Source organism: Homo sapiens, chromosome 11, assembly GCF_000001405.40.
Source record: "Homo sapiens chromosome 11, GRCh38.p14 Primary Assembly".
NCBI classification, from domain to species: Eukaryota; Metazoa; Chordata; class Mammalia; order Primates; family Hominidae; genus Homo; species Homo sapiens.
Window position 1 is genome coordinate 17211614 of NC_000011.10, and position 17874 is coordinate 17229487.

The window sequence follows — 17874 nt, forward strand, 5'->3', positions numbered from 1 at the left end:
AAGTGCTAGGATTATAGGTGTAAGCCACTGTGCCTGGCCAGAAGCATGTTAGGTACTATAGTGAGACAGGAAGATAATGCCAGGCCTGGGAGGCTGTATTAAGAATTTAGGTCTTTATCTTAAGAATGAAGAGAAAGATTTTAAGCCTTCAAGTGATCAGAGTTGCATTTTTGAAAGATTTCATAAAGCTAGGAGGAGAAAGAATTAGAAGGGTCTAGGGGATTTGGGTAGCCCAGTCTGGAGTTTATTGCAACTGTGTAGGGAAGTGATGATGGTGGCTTGAACCTTGGATAAGACACAATAAGTGTGTGGCTCACGCCTGTAATCCTAACACTTTGGGAGGCCGAAGCGGGTGGATCACCTGAGGTCAGGAGTTCAAGACCAGCCTGGCCAACATGGTGAAACCCCATCTCTACTAAAAATACAAAATTAGCCAGTCATGGTGGTGCGTGCCTGTAATCCCAGCAACTTAGGAGACTGAGGCAGGAGAATCACTTGAACCCAGGAGGTGGAAGTTGCAGTGAGCCAAGATCGTGCCATTGCACTCCAGCCTAGGCAAAAAGAGCGAAACTCCATCTAAAAAAAAAAAAGACACAATAAATGTGAAGTTGACTGAGCTAGGGTTCCTGGCCTTGGAGACAGTCCAGTAGGGGAGAGCAACTTAGAAATAAAAATAGTATATTGTGCTATGAGCACTACTAGAGGTAAACCCAAATAACTCTGGAAGCTCGGAGAAAAGATAGAGGGAAGATGGAAAATGTATTAGTTATCTATTGCTGCATATCAAATTACCCCAGCATTTAGCAGCTTAAAGTAAAAATGATAAACATTTACTAGATCACAGTTTCTGTGGGACAGGCATGTTGGCATGGCATAGGTGAGTGTTTCTGATTTAAGATCTCCCACAAGATTGCAGTCAAGCTGTCAGCTGCCAATCCCATCTGAGGGCTTGAATGGGGGGAGATCCACTTCCAAGTTCACTCATGTGGTTGTTAGAAGGCCTTGATCTCTCCCTACATAGGCAGCCCTCTCCCCAGGGCTTCCTCACAACATGGCCACTGACGTTCCGCAACGTGAGTGACCAAGAAAGAGAGCAAGAGAACCAAGAGTATGTGAGAGAAAGCACCCATGGAAAGAAGCCACAGTCTTTTTGTAACCTAATCTCAGAAATGGTCTTATCACTTCTGCCATACTCTATTTATTAGAAGTGAGTCAATAAATTCAGTCCACATTCAAGAAAAGGGAAATACACAAAGGTGATGAATACACAAAGGTGTGAATAGCAGGAGGTGGGGATCATTGGGGTTCATTTTAGTGGCTGCCTACCACAGTAGGTTCCACAGAGGAGGCAGTACATGAGTAGTTGTATTAAAGTTTTTCAGGAGCATTTCAGGAGGAAGGGCTTTCCAGGCAAAGCAAAGGACGTGTGCAAAGATACAGAGGCATGGAAGAACTTCATGTGTTCAGGATACGCTGTTGGCCATTCTGTGACCAGGCGAGAGGGGCTTGGGGAGTATAATTGATTCAGCTGAGCAAATTTGAAGAGGAGGTAAAGTATCATTGGTTGAAAGATGATACATTTACTTCTTTGAATTCTACCAGCATACCTGCATCTTTGTGAAAAATATATACATACGAATATATTCATTAAAGCATCATCTTTATATTAGTTTGCTAGGGCTGCCATAACAGAGGACCACAAACTGGGTGGCTTAAACAACAAATTTATTGTCTCAGAATGCTGGAGGCTAGAAGTCTGAGATCAAAATGCCAGCAGGATTGGTTCTTTCTTTTTTTATTTTTCACACAGGGTCTCACTCTGCCACCCAGGCTGGAGTGCAGTGGCACGATCTCGGCTCCCTGCAACCTCCGTCTCCTGGGTTCAAGCGATTCTCCTACCTCAGCCTCCCGAGTAGCTGGGACTACATGCGCGCCACCATGCCCAGCTAATTTTTATATTTTTAGTAGAGTTGAGGTCTAACCATGTTGGCTAGGCTGGTCTCAAATTCCTGACCTTAAATGATCCGCCCACCTTGGCCTCCCAAAGTGCTGGGATTACCTGTGTGAGCCACTGCGCCTGGCCTAAGATTGGTTCTTTCGGAGCACCCAACTTCTGAGGGTTGCCAGGGAAATAATTTGTTCCAGGTCTCTCTCCTTGACATGTAGATGGTCATTGTCTCCTGTCTTCATATTGTCTTCCCTCCTTAAATGTCTCTATCCAAATTTCTGCTTCTTTAAGGAGACCAGTCATATTGGATTAGGGCCCCCACTAATGATGTCATTTTATCTTAATTACTTTGTAAAGACCCTGCCTCTAAATGAGGTCACATTCTGAGATATTAAGGGTTAGAAATTAATCATATGAGTTTGGGGGGAGGGTACACAATTCCACCCATATGTTCCATGAAAGGGCTATATATGCAAAGCAACCTGCAGACACAAAAGGAACCAAGAAACCAAAGAATAAGGAAGACAAATCTGGTTTGTTGGTATAGAGTATTTTATTAGGGAGCTTACGGACAAAAGTATGGTCTTCGGTGGCCACAAGACAGGTAGTTCTTCACACCACAAACCCCCTGATCCAGGGCTTATATTTTGAATCATACATGCTCTGGGAGAAATGTGTAGATGGTTATGGACCTCACAGCCTGTGATTTATGCAATGACATCAGGGGTGGTTTTGAAGGAAAGACAAAACTTACAGTGAATAGGTGTTTCTACATAAAGAGTAATAACTAGACATCTTGGAGGTATTCCTGGACTGGGGGTTAGTCAGGAGTCACATGGCAGATTAGCATCTAAAATACAGTCACTCTTGTCCCCACACCATAAAAATCATGTGATGGGAAAAGAGTGAAAACAACTAAATGCTCATCAATAGGGAATGGGTAAATAGGTTATGGTATATCATAAAATGGAATACTATGCAGCTGTTAAAAAGATGTACTGATAAGAATATTTTCCATTGTGGAATAATCTCCAATATATTTTATTAAGGGAAAAGGGCAAGTTGCCAAGTAATCTATGGCATGCCAGTATTTATGTTAAAAAATGGAATGTGTTGTAATAGCATAGGATATCTCTGGAAATATACACAAATATACACAAGAAACTGGTAATAGTGGCTACATACGTAAAGAGGAACTGGGAGCCTGAGGGTCAGCAATAGGAGGGAGCCTTTTTACTATATACTCCTGTTGTACAGGTTGACTTTGTTACCATGGGCATGTATTACTTTCAAATTAAAAAAGAAAGAAGTAGGTGCAGCAAACCACCATGGCAAATGTATACCTGTGTAACAAACCTGCACGTTCTGCATATGTATCCCAGAACTTAAAGTAAAATAAAAAAAGAAGCATAAGGGAGCTTGGTAATTTTGGTATGAAGTATATTTAGTCTGAACAAAACTGAAGTTTATGTCTATGTTTTTAAAGTTGATGTTGGCTGGGCGCCAGTGGCTCACGCCTGTAATCACAGCACTTTGGGGGGCCGAGGCGGATCACAAGGTCAGGAGTTCGAGATCAGCCTGACCAACATGGTGAAACCCCGTCTCTACTAAAAATACAAAAATTAGCTGGGTGTGGTGGTGCACGCCTGTAGTCCCAGCTACTCAGGAGGCTGAGGCAGGAGAATCGCTTGAACCCGGGAGGTGGAGGTTGCAGTGAGCCGAGATCGCACCATTGCATTCCAGCCTGGGTGACAGAGGAGACTACGTCTCAAAAAAAAAAAAAAAAATTTTTTTTTTTAAGGGAGCCAAAAGGTACATACAGATTTTTCAACTGTGTAGGGGTCAGTTCTCCTAATGCCCTCATTGTTCAAGGATGAAGTGTACTAAAAGTAAACAAATGCCAACCTTGAAATTCTGTACACAGTGAAAATATCACTTAAAATAAATCTTAAAAAAAAAGTTGATGTCTATGTTTTCTCTTCTCGAAGCTTCCCCACCCAGTCTCTCTCCCTTTGACCCTTACACACATAACTTCCCTCTCTCCCTTAATCTTACACCTTCTCCAGCTTCTGCCTTCTTCCCTGCTTCCTATTATAATGAAACTCAGAAGAACTACCTGTACTTGCTGACCCTACCTTCTTACTCTTTTGGGATTTTATATCCTCTGTATACTGAAATGTTTCATCAAGTTGCTAATGACCCACATTTTGCCCAAGTCCGGTCAAGTCTCTGTCCCCATCTTTCCAGACCACTCAGCAGTGTTTCACTGTAGTGACCATTCCTTCCTGGAAGCACTTTGTTCTGTAGGCTTTTATGACATCAGATCCCCCTAGTTTTCCTTCTACCTCCCTGCGTACCACTTAGTCTCTTATCAGTTCCTTCCCTTCTATCAGACCTCTAAAGGTAGGAGAGCTCTAAGACTTCATCTTCAGCTTTTTTTTTTTTTTGAGATGGAGCCTCGCTCCCATCGCGCAGGCTGGAGTGCAGTGGCGTGATCTCGGCTCACTGCAACCTCCACCTCCTGGGTTCAAGCGATTCTCCTTCCTCAGCCTCCCGAGCAGCTGGGATTACAGGTGTGCGCCGCTACACCTGGCTAATTTTTGTATTTTTAGTAGAGACAGAGTTTCGCCGTGTTGGCCAGGGTGGTTTTGATCTCCTGACCTCAGGTGATCCACCCGCCTTGGCCTCCCAAAGTGCTAGGATTAGAGGCATGAGCCACTGCACCCAGCCTCTTTTTTTTTCTTTGATTTTATGGTTCAACTAGGTGAGTTCAAGATCCATGGTTTTAAGTACCATTCCTAGGTCAATCATTCTGAAATTTATATCTCCAGCCCCTGACTAGTCCTCTGTAGAACTCTAGATTTGTGTAACTGTCTACCTCATTTGGATGTTTGATAAGCAACTCAAAATGAGCACAAATTGAGAACTCTCAATTTATCACCCTATATCTGTTCCCCACTTTCCCATCCCCTCATCATCCCCAATATTTACCCGCCTAAATAATTGGCACCATCAGCCCAGTTACATAGGCCAGGTCAGGAGTCATCCTTGATTCCTCTCATTCTCCCATATCCCAGTCAATAGTTCCTACTGGCTCTATCTCCAAAATACATCCTAAAGCCAAACCTGACCCTTCTTGCCATCTCACTCCTGTAATCCTAGTCTAAGCCACCATCTAACTGGTCTTCCTGCATCCAGTCTTAACCCCTTAAGTTTGTACCCCATGCAATTCTTGGCATGATTTGAAATGGTAAATCACTGAGTGGGTGGCTCATGCCTGCAACTCCAACACTTTGGGAGGCAGAGGCAGGATGATCACTTGAGGCCAGGAGTTTGAAACCAGCTTCGGCAACATAACAAGACCCCATCTCTACAAAAAATAAAATAATTATCCAGGTGTGGTGGTGCATGCCTGTAGTCCCAGCTACTCAGAAGGGTGAGGCAGAAGGATCACTTGAGCCCAGGAGTTCGAACCGGCAGTGAGCGATGATCGCACCACTGCACTCCAGCTGGGCGACAAGAAGGAGACTCTGTCTCTAATGTAATAAATAAAATGAAATGATAAATCAGCTGTAAATCACAGCTGCCAAGAAGGCTGAGATGGGAGGATTACCTGAGCCCAAGTTTGAGACTAGCCTGGGCAACATAGTGACTCTCATCTCTAAAAAAAAATTTTTTTAAATAGCTGGGCATGGTGATGCGCTCCCATATTCCCAGCTACACAGAAGGCTGAGGAAGGAGGATTCATTGCACTCATGTGTTTGAGGCTGCAGTGAGCTATGATTGGACCACTGCACTCCAGCCTGGGCAACAAAGGGAAACCATGTCTCTTAAAAAAAAGAATAATAATAAAAGGTAAATCAGATCACCTCACCAACTGGTTGAACTCACTAGTAGCTTTCCATTGCACTTAGAATAAACCTTCCCTTTGCTTCCAAAGCCTTACAAACCTGATCCAGTTTACCTCTCCTGTATCGCTCTGCCCCTTGACCACTGTTCCAGCAACAGCAGCCTTCTTTCATTCCTAAACAGCCAAGAATATGCAAGCTCACTCCTGCTCTAATGACTTTGCACTAGCTATTCCCTTGCCTGAAATGCTGTCCCTTTGAGTGTGACTGGCTCCTTTTTGTCCTTCATATCTCTGGTTAAATGTTACCTCCTGAGAATTTCACTGACCACCCAGTCTAAAATACTCACCTCGTCCCTATATATATAGCGTGACTTTATTTTAATGCTCTGTGAAGCACTGACTACCTCCTGATACTTTTCTTATTTATTTATTTTAGGTATTTATTTTCCCACACTAGAATGTAAGCTCAATGACAGCAGGGACTTTGTCTTGTTCACCATTAATTCCTTTGCATCTAGAGCAGTGCTTGGCTCAGAGAGCCTAATAATTGTTAAGTGAATGAATGAAATTACTTCCATTTATATTTAATACCTTTTCCCCTTCAGTTAAAACAACATAGCCAAGACTTTCCTCTTGTATAGAAATTCACATGATTTTTTTTTTTTTTTTGAGACAGAATCTCACTCTGTCACCTAGGCTGGAGTGTAGTGATATGATCACATCTCACTGCAGCCTCAACTTCCTGGGCTCAAGCAATCCTCCCATCTCAGCCTCTTGAGTAGCTGGGACTACGGGTGCACTCCACCACACTGGGCTAATTAAAATAATTTTTTTAGAGACAAGGTCTCACCATATTGCCCAGGTTGGTCTCGAACCTCTGGGCTCAAGCAATCCTCCCCGCTTGGCCTCCCAAAGTGTTGGGATTGGAGGCATGAGCCACTGCACCTGGCCTGAGCATGAATTATGAAAGACTAATATTATTTCAGTGGAAGCCCTGCCTTGTAAACCAGTGGTGAGGAGCATTTGTATTGCACTGAATAATTTTTTAAATTCAGTTGTGAGTTACTATATAAAACCTAAAATTAAGTTAGAAAAATTTCAAAGAACTATCAACTGTTTCTTTGATATGCCTTTAAAAAGGATGGCCATTTTGTGCATCATTAAAGTATGATGTGTAGGCTGTGACTCACAAGAGGAATAGCCAACCTACTCTTTTCTCTCCTCCTCTTCCCCTCCCCAGAATATCATAAAGAAACAGGTGATAGGTACTTGGAAGAGTAGCTAACATTTGCTGAGAGCTTGCTATGTGCTAGATATTTTATTTTATTTTATATTTTATGTTATGTTACTTTATTTTATTTTTATTTTATTTTGAGACAAGGTCTCACTCTGTTCCCCAGGCTAAAGTGCAGTGGCATGATCACAGCTCACTGCAGGCTTGACCTCCCCAGGCTCAAGTGATCCTCCCACCTCAGCCTCCCAAGTATCTGTGACTACAGGTATGCACCAGCACACCCAGCTAATATTTGTATTTTTTGTAGAGACAGAGTTTTGCCATGTTGCCCAGGCTGGTCCTGAACTCCTGGGCTCAAGTGATCCGCCCACCTCAGCCTCCCAAAGTGCTGGGATTATAGGCATGAGCCACTGTGCCCAACCAACATTTAATAAATTAACTCATTTAACCTTCAGAACAACCTTATGAGAGACAATTCTAATTCCCACTTAACAGATATGAGGTACAGAGAGGTTAAGTAACTTGCCTGGGTCACATGGTTAATGAGTGGTAGAGCTGGGCAGGCTGACTCCAATGTCTGAGCTTTTAATCATCTTACCATGCTGCCTTGGGGAATGCATGTCAGTGGGTCTGAATGTTTGTCGCCACTTTAGTCCTTTGGGACTACAAAGGAGAGTAAATAAGGAAAAATACATGGGGGTTTGGAGCTAAGTGTCAAATCCAATCAAGTCCAAATTCCAGAGGTTTTCCTTTTTTATGCCATGGACCGTTTTGGTAGTCAGGGAGTCTATAGACCCCCTACTCAGAATAATGTTTTTACATACAAAGCTAAAATAGAATTGGAAACCTATTATAGTGAAATACAGTTCTCAAAATATTAAATCACCATGTGGGATATAATATACATGCTTTTTGTTGATATATTAAAAAGATCTAATGGCAGTCTAATGACTACCATAATTTCATAGCAGTATGAACACAAATGATATTTCAAGATAGTTTTAACTGCAATAATGTGACATAGAAATATCTGGGATGTGGTCGGGCACAGTGGCTCACACCTGTAATCCCAGCACTTTGGGAGACCGAGGCAGGCAGATCACTTGAGGTCATGAGTTCGAGACCAGCCTAGCCAACATGGTGAAACCCTGTCTCTACCAAAAATATAAAAAATTAGCCAGGTGTGGTGGTGCATGCCTGTAATCCCAGCTACTTGGGAGGCTGAGGCAGGAGAATCGCTTGAACCCAGGACGGGGAGGTTGCAGTGAGCTGAGATCATACCACTGCACTCCAGCCTGGGCCACAGAGCGAGACTCCATTTAAAAAAAAGAAAAATATCTGGGATATCTGTTAGTGACAAAGTCACAGATACAGCTAGTACTGCTATGACTTGTGGCCTACATTAGTAAGGGAAGGAATTGCTAAGTTTCTATTTGAGATTAGTGAAAATAAAGACATGATATTTTTTCCTTCCCATTCAAGTTCATAGGCCTCTTGAATTCCATCCATGGATTTCTTTGGGGAAGGGAGTTTTGGTGGAGACAGATCTATATACCCCCAGGTTATTATTCCCTGCCACCGAGCCTGGGAGCAGTTTCTGGATATACGGTAGTGACCCGGTGTATGGACAAGAAGTAGATGCAGGGAATTGACCAGGAATTACTGGGAAGAGGGATTCAGTGGTGTGAACTGGTCACCCCTTCCCATAAGCCTGATGATTGAAAAAGGACAATGAGTGACCAGGCGTGGTGGCTCACGCCTGTAATCCCAGCACTTTGGGAGGCCAAGGCGGGTGGATCACCTGAGGTCAGGAGTTTGAGACCAGCCTGACTAACATGGTAAAACCCTGCCTCTACTAAAAATACAAAATTAGCCTGGCTTGGTGGCACATGCCTGTAATCCAGCTACTTAGGAGTCTGAGGCAGGAGAATGCAGTGTGATAGCCCAAAAAGAAGGCAGAGGTTGCAGTGAGCTGAGATCGCGCCCCCGCACTCCAGCCTGGCCAACAAGAGAGAAACTCTGTCTCAAAAAAAAAAAAAAAAAAGGACAATGAGAAAATAAATGAAGTAAAATTTGTTTCTGTGATATCTGAGATAATCTTTTAGATGTGTTTCTAACATTTCCCCAAATGAAGTAAATTATTACACAAAATTACGAAGTTAAAGCAAATTTGGAAAAAAAAAAAACAGTTACAAGTGGACAGAAGTCTATTTTGGCATTCTGAGTGTCTGCAGCTTTGGGACAAATGAGAGGCAGGATCCCTGGGCAGGATCAGCACACTCATGGTAGCAAGCGCTCCTCATTCTGCCCCCAGTTCTGCCCCCACAGCTTCAAACATGGTGGGCTGACAACAATATGGAGGTCGGAGAAGAAGAACAATTTCAGAGCATGTCTGAGACAACCCAAGGTGCTGAAAAATGTACTGAAGCTCTACAGTGATGGAGGCATGGATCAGCACTATGCAGATAGAAACATAAATGTGACATCATTTGTAATTGCAGTCTGAATGAGTTAGAAAAAAATTAGGATATTCTTACGTGGAAGCTAAATCTTAATACCACTAGGAAGATTTGTAATAATAACAATGATAGTTAACGTGAATGGAATGGTTACTATTTGTCAGGCACTGTTAGAAGTACAGTACTTTACATGCATTAACATATTTAATTCCTAGAGCAAACTTACGAAGTAAGTGCTGTTAATATCTTCATTTTACAAGCAAGGAAACCGAAGTGCAGAGAGGTAGAAGTAAATTATTTTTTTAAAAATGACACTTATTTGGGCCTACATGTCACCCAGCAGCCAGGGGAAAAAAAAAAGACATTTATTCTAAAACAGAGTAGAAGTATATTCTTTTTTTCTTTTTTAAAATACTTTTTTTGTACAGAGCAGTTGAAATGTAAGAAGTATATTCTTTTGTTTTGTTTTTTGAGACAGAGTCTCAGTCTGTCACCTAAGCTGGAGTACAGTGGTGCAATCTCAACTCACTGCAACCTCTGCCTCCCGGGTTCAAGCAATTCTCCCTGCCTCAGCCTCCCCAGTAGCTGGGATTACAGGTGCCCACCAGCACGCCCGGCCAATTTTTTTATTTTTTAGTAGAGGCAAGGTTTTGCCATGTTGGCCAGGCTGGTCTCGAACTCCTGACCTCAGGTGATCCACCTACCTCAGCCTCCCTAAGTACTGGGATTACAGGCATGAGCCACTGCACCTGTCCTAGAAGTATAATTCTTGACTGTATTAGTTAAATGCTATATTGACTTTATGCTAGCTGCTGTAAAAATAAGCTTTGAAACCTCAATGGCTTAACACAATCGGAGTGTATTTCTCTCCGCATAAGCCCAATATGAGGTTGGGTGTTGAGAAACTCAGAATGATGAAAGTCTGCTGTCTTCACTATATCAGCATCACTCTGAGGTTTCTTGCACCTTCATTTGAAGGTGAAATGCATCAAATTCCACTGGTCAGAACTACTTGCCCATGACTAACTAAAAGGGAAGCTGGGAAATGTAGCTGAACTGTGGTCCAACAGGGGAAAAAAATGGTTTGGTAACCAGCTAGCCAGTATTTGTCATGCCAGCAGATCAGACAACTTTATTGGTTCAAGCAGAGAGCTTCCCTTTTTTTTTTCAAAAGGTGCTCCTTAACAAACTGAAACAACTTTTAAATGAGCTTAGTTCATGGTCTTTTGTTAAGAAGAAGTCCTTTATTTTTATGTTGTAGATATGATATTATTACCACCCAGTCCTTCTGTATAATTATTGTCAGAAAGCATGGCTTGAGAACAACTCTTTTTATATTCAAATACTGTTTTTGGTAACTGTTCTCCAGTATTTTGATTTACTGTCAAAAAATTTATATAGCATACAAATAATGCACTTATCTGGTAAGTAAATTTCTTAGCTAATTTATTAAGATATTCTCTTGACTTCTGGGAGCTAGAATGATCTTGACTACATTTATGTGGAAGAACTTTGGGGCCTGAGACATCACTTGTCCATGTGTTTAAGTGAGTCCAGATCTATTTCTGAAGAAAGTCTTGTCTTTGCACATGTACCTTCTTAGGCCTATTTCCAAATGGCAGTGGGATGGCCTTCTTTTTGGGCTATCGCACTGTTAGATGCCTCATTGCTCTGAAAGAATGTCAGTCCTACCTTCAGCCCCATTGAGTGCTAAATCAACTATTACTCAGCAGCAAAATCATTTCCATTCTAGTTTCTTACCAGAAAAATAACTTCAAACTTTCTCTGCACTTTATTTATCAAAAGCTCAAGTGAAAAAAAATAATACTCATTGGGGATTACTTGAAGGATAAGTAATCTATCCACTTCTCTAAACAATCTAAATGTTATCCCTTATTTATGACTATTAGAATAAGCTATGTAGCTGGATTGCCCCTGTCTCTTGTAGAATTGCTTGTGCTGAATTGCATTTTGGTTTTACACACCAAAGCTGGTTGTAAGAGATGGCCCTAGGAATCTTGCTGTTGTAGTTATTGTAAGGATGTTGTTGAGGACTTTGACCACTATGTTATAGAGTGACTCATAATTAGGGAAAATTTCTCTCGGATCTTATTACCAGGAAGCTATGTTTCTCTTAAGAGCTACTTCATTTTGGCTGGGCACAGTGGCTCACGCCTATAATCCCAGCACTTTGGGAGGCCAAGGCGGACAGAGCATGAGGTCAGGAGATCGAGACCATCCTGGCTAACACGGTAAAACCCCGTCTCTACTAAAAATACAAAAAATTAGCCGGGCGTGGTGGCGGGCACCTGTAGTCCCAGCTACTCGGGAGGCTGAGGCAGGAGAATGGCGTGAACACGGGAGGCAGAGCTTGCAGTGAGCCGAGATCGTGCCACTGCACTCCAGCCTGGGCGACAGAGCAAGACTCTGTCTCAAAAAAAAAAAAAAAAATGAGCTCTTTTATTTTTATCAAAGGGAAAGTAAATTTCATCATTGTTCAGATTTCCCTATGGCTTTGTCCCTGGAAGCTCAGAATCAAATTTACGGCCCAGGTCTAGCTATTGTCTAGAACTATATAATATGCACTTTTGTGTGTCATCATAACAGTTGGTTTTAGCTTATTTTCCTTCTCCTGCTTGCCTTTACTTCTTTCCTCCACACCAATTACTTAACCCATTATTTCATGTTACATTTCTATAAATTGCTTCAAAGACTTTAGAAACATAGGAATTATATGTTTGAGCATGTACTTACATGTATATGCTTAAAGTAATGCTCAAATATTTCGAATAACAAAAGATGTTGAAATACATGTTCCCTTAAACACTATTATTGCATATTTTTCATTAAAAGTTTTGCATTGGAATTCATGTTTCTTTTCTTTTTTTTTTTTTCTTTTTGAGACAGAGCCTTGCTCTGTTGCCAGGCTCGAGTGCAGTGGCACAATCTCGGCTCACTGCAACCTCCACCTCCCAGGTTCAAGCGATTCTCCTGCCTCAGTCTCCCAAGTAGCTGGGACTACAGGTGTGTGCCACCACACCCAGCTAATTTTTTTTCAGCTAATTTTTTTTTTTTTTTTTGAAATGGAGTCTCACTCTGTTGCCCAGGCTGGAGTGCAGTGGCACAATCTCGGCTCACTGCAACCTCTGCCTCCCAGGTTCAAGCAATTCTCCTGCCTCAGCCTCCTGAGTAGCTGAGATTACAGGTGTGCACTACCATGCCTGGCTAATTTTTGTATTTTTGGTAGAGACGGGGTTTTGCCATGTTGGTCAGGCTGCTCTCCAATTCCTGACCTCATGATCCACCCACCTCAGCCTCCCAAAGTGTTGGGATTACAGGGATTACAGGTGTGAGCCACCGTGCCTGGCTTTTTTTTTTTTTTGGGAGACGGAGTTTTGCTCTTGTTGCCCAGGCTGGAGTGCAATGGTGTAATCTCGGCTCACTGCAACCTCCACCTCCCGGGTTCAAGTGATTCTCCTGCCTCAACCTCCCGAGTAGCTGGGATTACAGGCACGCGCCACCATGCCTGGCTAATTTTGTATTTTTATTAGAGATGGGGTTTCTCCATGTTGGTTAGGCTGGTCCCGAACTCCCGACCTCAGGTGATTTGCCCGCCTCGGCCTCCCAAAGTGCTGGGATTACAGGCATGAGCCACTGCACCCAGCCTTGTTTCTTTCTTTATACTCCACTGCTTCTCTCCTCCAACCCATGCTGCAGACTGCTCCCACCCTTGCTTTTTCTTAAGCTATTCCCTGTTCCTTCCTCTCCTCATTGCCAAATCTTCCTCCAAGGGCCTCAGCCCTAGCTGCTCTGTCAGAATGGAATGTTCTTTCCTGACAGACTTCTTATCAGTTCCTTGCCAACTACACAGAGAGACTTCCTGACCCTCATCCTCTCTAAAGCTGACTCTTGTCCCCTGCTCGCCCTACCTCATATATAAACAGCACCTTGCTTACTTTCTTCGCTATATTCTGTCATCATTTTCTTATTAATTCCCTTGGTGGTTATATGTCTACTCAACTAGAGGGTGAACTCCGTGAGGGTAAGTACCATGTTGTTTGCTTTTTTGTTGTTGTTAAGAGACAGGGTCTCACTGTGCGGCTCAGGCTGGTCTTTTTTTTTTTTTTTTTTCCCAAGACGGAGTCTTGCTCTGTTGCCCAGGCTGGAGTGCAGTGGCATGACCTCAGCTCACTGCACGCTCCACCTCCCAGGTTCAAGTGATTCTCCTGCTTCAGCCTCATGAGTAGCTGGACTACAGGCACCTGCCACCATGCCCAGCTAATTTTTATATTTTTAGTAGAGAAGGAGTTTCACCATGTTGGCCAGGCTCGTCTCAAACTCCTGACCTCGTGATCCACCTGCCTCAGCCTCCCAAAGTGCTGGGATTACAGGTGTGACCCACCATGCCCAGCCTCAGGCTGGTCTTTATCTCCGGCCTCAACCATCCTCTTGCCTTAGCCTCTTGAGTAGCTGGGATTAAGGCATGAGCCACTGTTCCCAGCAATCCAGGTCTTCAGATGCATGAATAAATTGTTGAGCCTATGAACTGCAGAAAACCTCTTCTAACTCTTCTGTACTCTCAGGAATATTCCCTTTTCAAAACTCCTGAATTTACTCCTATCTTGTCCGAACCTAGTCACTCGGCACGTTTAAAGCCCTCAATACCTCTTTGTTTCGTGTTTCAGGATGGATTTCCCCAATTACTTTGTAAGTTTTAAATTATTTGGCTAATAGATTATTAGAGGAACACTGAAGGTACAGGCAGTGGAATCTGGATATCAGCAGGGGATTTAAATAGTCTCATATTCATGAGGGTGCGCGAACCTTTATGCTAACTCAGAACTCCAGAGTTAGTATAAAGATTATTGTAAGCAGAACACATTTGAGATTCAATAGAATCATAAAGAATCCTTCTCGGAGCTTCCCTTATGTGACTAAAAGCAGCAACTTCTGAGAAATGAGGTATCATGAATTCTCCCTCCAGGGAAGTTTTACGGCCTTGAAGAAGGCAGAAAGACCACTCATAGTTATGTGGCCAAATATTATCACAAACTTTGGCTCTCATTTGTTCTCTTAAAAACTCACTTGTGGCTGGGTGTGGTGGCTCACACCTGTAATCCCAGCACTTTGGGAACCCGGGGCGGGCGGATCACAAGTTCAGGAGTTCGAGACCAGCCTGACCAACATGGTGAAACCCAGTATCTACTAAAAATACAAAAATTAGCCAGGCATGGTGGCATGTGCCTGTAATCCCAGCTACTCAGGAGGCTGAGGCAGGAGAATCGCTTAAACCCGGGAGGCGGAGCTTGCAGTGAGTTGAGATCGCACCACTGTACTCCAGCCTGGGCGACAGAGCAAGACTCTGTCTCAAAAAAAACCCCACTTGTATTTCCTTTAAAAACCTATTTGTCCTTCCCATGGGACTCTTTTCTTCCTCCTCCTTCCCCTACTGTTAGATATAGCCACAAATTCTTTTTTTTTTTTCTTTTTGAGACGGAGTCTTGCTCTGTCACCCAGGCTGGAATGCAGTGGTGTGATCTCGGCTCACTTCAACTTCCACCTCCTGGGTTGAAGCAATTCTCCCACCTCAGCCTCCCGAGTAGCTGGGACTATAGGCGTGCACCACCACGCCTGACAAATTTTTGTATTTTTAGTAGAGGGGTTTCACCACGTTGGCCAGACTGCTCTCGAACTCCTGACCTCAAGTGATCCACTCATTTCGGCCTCCCAAAGTTCTGGGATTACAGGCATGTGCCACTGTGCCCAGCCATAAGCCACAAATTCTAGCCACCTTTTTGAGTTACTCATCACTGAGCGTTCCCACACATATGTGCATTGCATGCGTGAACTCTTATTAATTTGTCTTTTGTCAGTTTAATTTGCAGGCCTCCAGTAATTGAATAGAGGAGGGTAGAAGAGGCCAGCTGCGGTGGCTCATGCCTGTAATTCCAGCACTTTGGGAGGCCAAAGTGGGCTGATCACTTCAGGCCAGGAGTTCAAGACCAGCCTGGGCAACATGGCGAAACCTCATCTCTACTAAAAATACAAAAATTAGCTGAGCGTGGTGGTGCATGCCTGGAGTCCCAGCTACTCAGGAGGCTGAGGCAGGAGAATCACTGGCACCCGGGAAGCAGAGGTTGCAGTAAGCCTAGATCGCACCACTGCACTCCAGCCTGGGCGACAGAGCAAGACTCTGTCTTAAAAAAAAATGAAGAAGAAGAAAAGGGTAGAAGAAAAGGGCAATGATAGAAGGACAAGAAGGGGAGGTAGAAAGGGAACTTACATTTTTTGAGAACCACTTAGATTAGGCAAAACACGTCATAGGAAGATATATTTCACCTCCTTTTTTTTTTCTTTTTGTTGTTGTTGTTGTTGAGATAGGGTCTCACTCTGTCACCCAGGCTGGAGTATAGCGGCACGATCACAGCTCAGTCTCCCAAAGTGCTAGAATTACAGGCATGAGCCACTATACCTGGCATCCCCTCCCTTTTTTTTTTTTTTTTTTCAGATGGAGTCTTGCTCTGTCACCCAGGCTGGAGTGCAGTGACACAATCTCAGCTCACTGCAAGCTCCGCCTCCTGGGTTCACGCCATTCTCCTGGCTCAGCCTCCCAAGTAGCTGGGACTACAGGCGCTGGCCACCACACCTGGTTAATTTTTTATGTTTTTAGTACAGACGGGGTTTCTCCATGTTGGTCAGGCTGGTCTCGAACTCCTGACCTCAGGTGATCTGCCCGCCCCGGCCTCCCAGAGTTCTGGGATTACGGGCGTGAGCCACTGCACCCGGCCAGTCACCTCCCTTTTTTAAACAATGGGAGCAAGCAAAGGGTAGAGTGAGTTTCCTTGAGACATCATTAACTCAACAAAATGTTTTGAGTGTGTTTCATGTGCCAGGTATCCTAAGAACTAGGGATGGAGCATGAATAAGACTTTGTTCCTGTTCTCATGGTATTGACAATTTAGCAGAGGCCAGGAGGAATCCATCTGAAAAAAAAGTTCCGTCAGGCCTGGATCAGAGATTCTAGCCCTGAACAGAAGCCGCACTCAGTAGAGTAAGTGAACATTTACAGAGGACTTACTATATGTTAGACACCATGCTAATCACTGTATACAGCATCCATGTTCCCTTAAAAACCCCAGATCCGCCTCTTCTCTGAGAAAACACCAAATGGCGTGACGCCGGTGCAGTTGGGGGGCCCGGAGGCCCTGGTGGCCCTGGGATGGGGAACCGCGGTGGCTTCCGCGGAGGTTTCGGCAGTGGCATCCGGGGCCAGGGTAGCGGCCGTGGACTGGGCCTGGGCCAGGGCCGCAGAGCTCGCGGAGGCAAGGCCGAGGATAAGGAGTGGATGCCCGTCACCAAGCTGGGCCGCTTTGTCAAAGACGTGAAGATCAAGTCCCTGGAGGAGATCTATCTCTTCTCCCTGCCCATTAAGGAATCAGAGATCATTGACTTTTTCCTGGCGGCTTCTCTCAAGGATGAGATTTTGAAGATTATGCCAGTGCAGAAGCAGACCCGTGCCGGCCAGCGCACCAGGTTCAAGGCGTTTGTTGCTGTCGGGGACTACAATGGCCACGTCGGTCTGGGTGTTAAGTGCTCCAAAGTGGTGGCCACCGCCATCCGTGGGGCCATCATCCTGGCCAAGCTCTCTATTGTCCCCGTGCGCAGAGGCTACTGGGGGAACAAGATCAGCAAGCCCCACACCGTCCCTTGCAAGGTGACAGGCCGCTGCGGCTCTGTGCTGGTGCGCCTCATCCCTGCACCCAGGGGCACTGGCATCGTCTCCGCACCTGTGCCCAAGGAGCTGCTCATGATGGCTGGTATCGATGACTGCTACACCTCAGACCGGGGCTGCACTGCCACCCTGGGCAACTTCACCAAGGCCACCTTTGATGCAATTTCTAAGACCTACAGCTACCTGACCCCTGACCTCTGGAAGGAGACTGTATTTACCAAGTCTACCTATCAGGAATTCACTGACCACCTCGTCAAGACCCACACCAGAGTCTCCGTGCAGTGGACCCAGGCTCTAGCTGTGGCTACAACATAGGGTTTTTATACAAGAAAAATAAAGTGAATTAAGCGTGAAAAAAAAAATTACACCCAGATCCATGGCTGGGCATGGTGGCTCACACCTGTAATCCCAGCACTTTGGGAGGCCGAGGCAGGTGGATCACCTGAGGTCAGGAGTTTGAGACCGGCCTGGCCAACATGGTGAAACCCAGTCTCTACTAAAAAAATACAAAAATTAGCCAGGCGTGGTGGTGCATGCTTGTAATCCCAGCTACTTGGGAGGCTGAGGCGGGAAGATCGCTTGAACCTGGGAGGTGGAGGTTGCAGTGAGCCAAGATCGTGCCGCTGCACTCCAGCCTGGGTGACAGAGCAA

The 17874-nt window shown here is 44.4% G+C and overlaps 1 pseudogene; it reads left to right on the top strand.

Annotated features, from left to right (window-relative positions):
* RPS2P40 (ribosomal protein S2 pseudogene 40) lies at window positions 16638–17575 on the top strand (annotated as a pseudogene).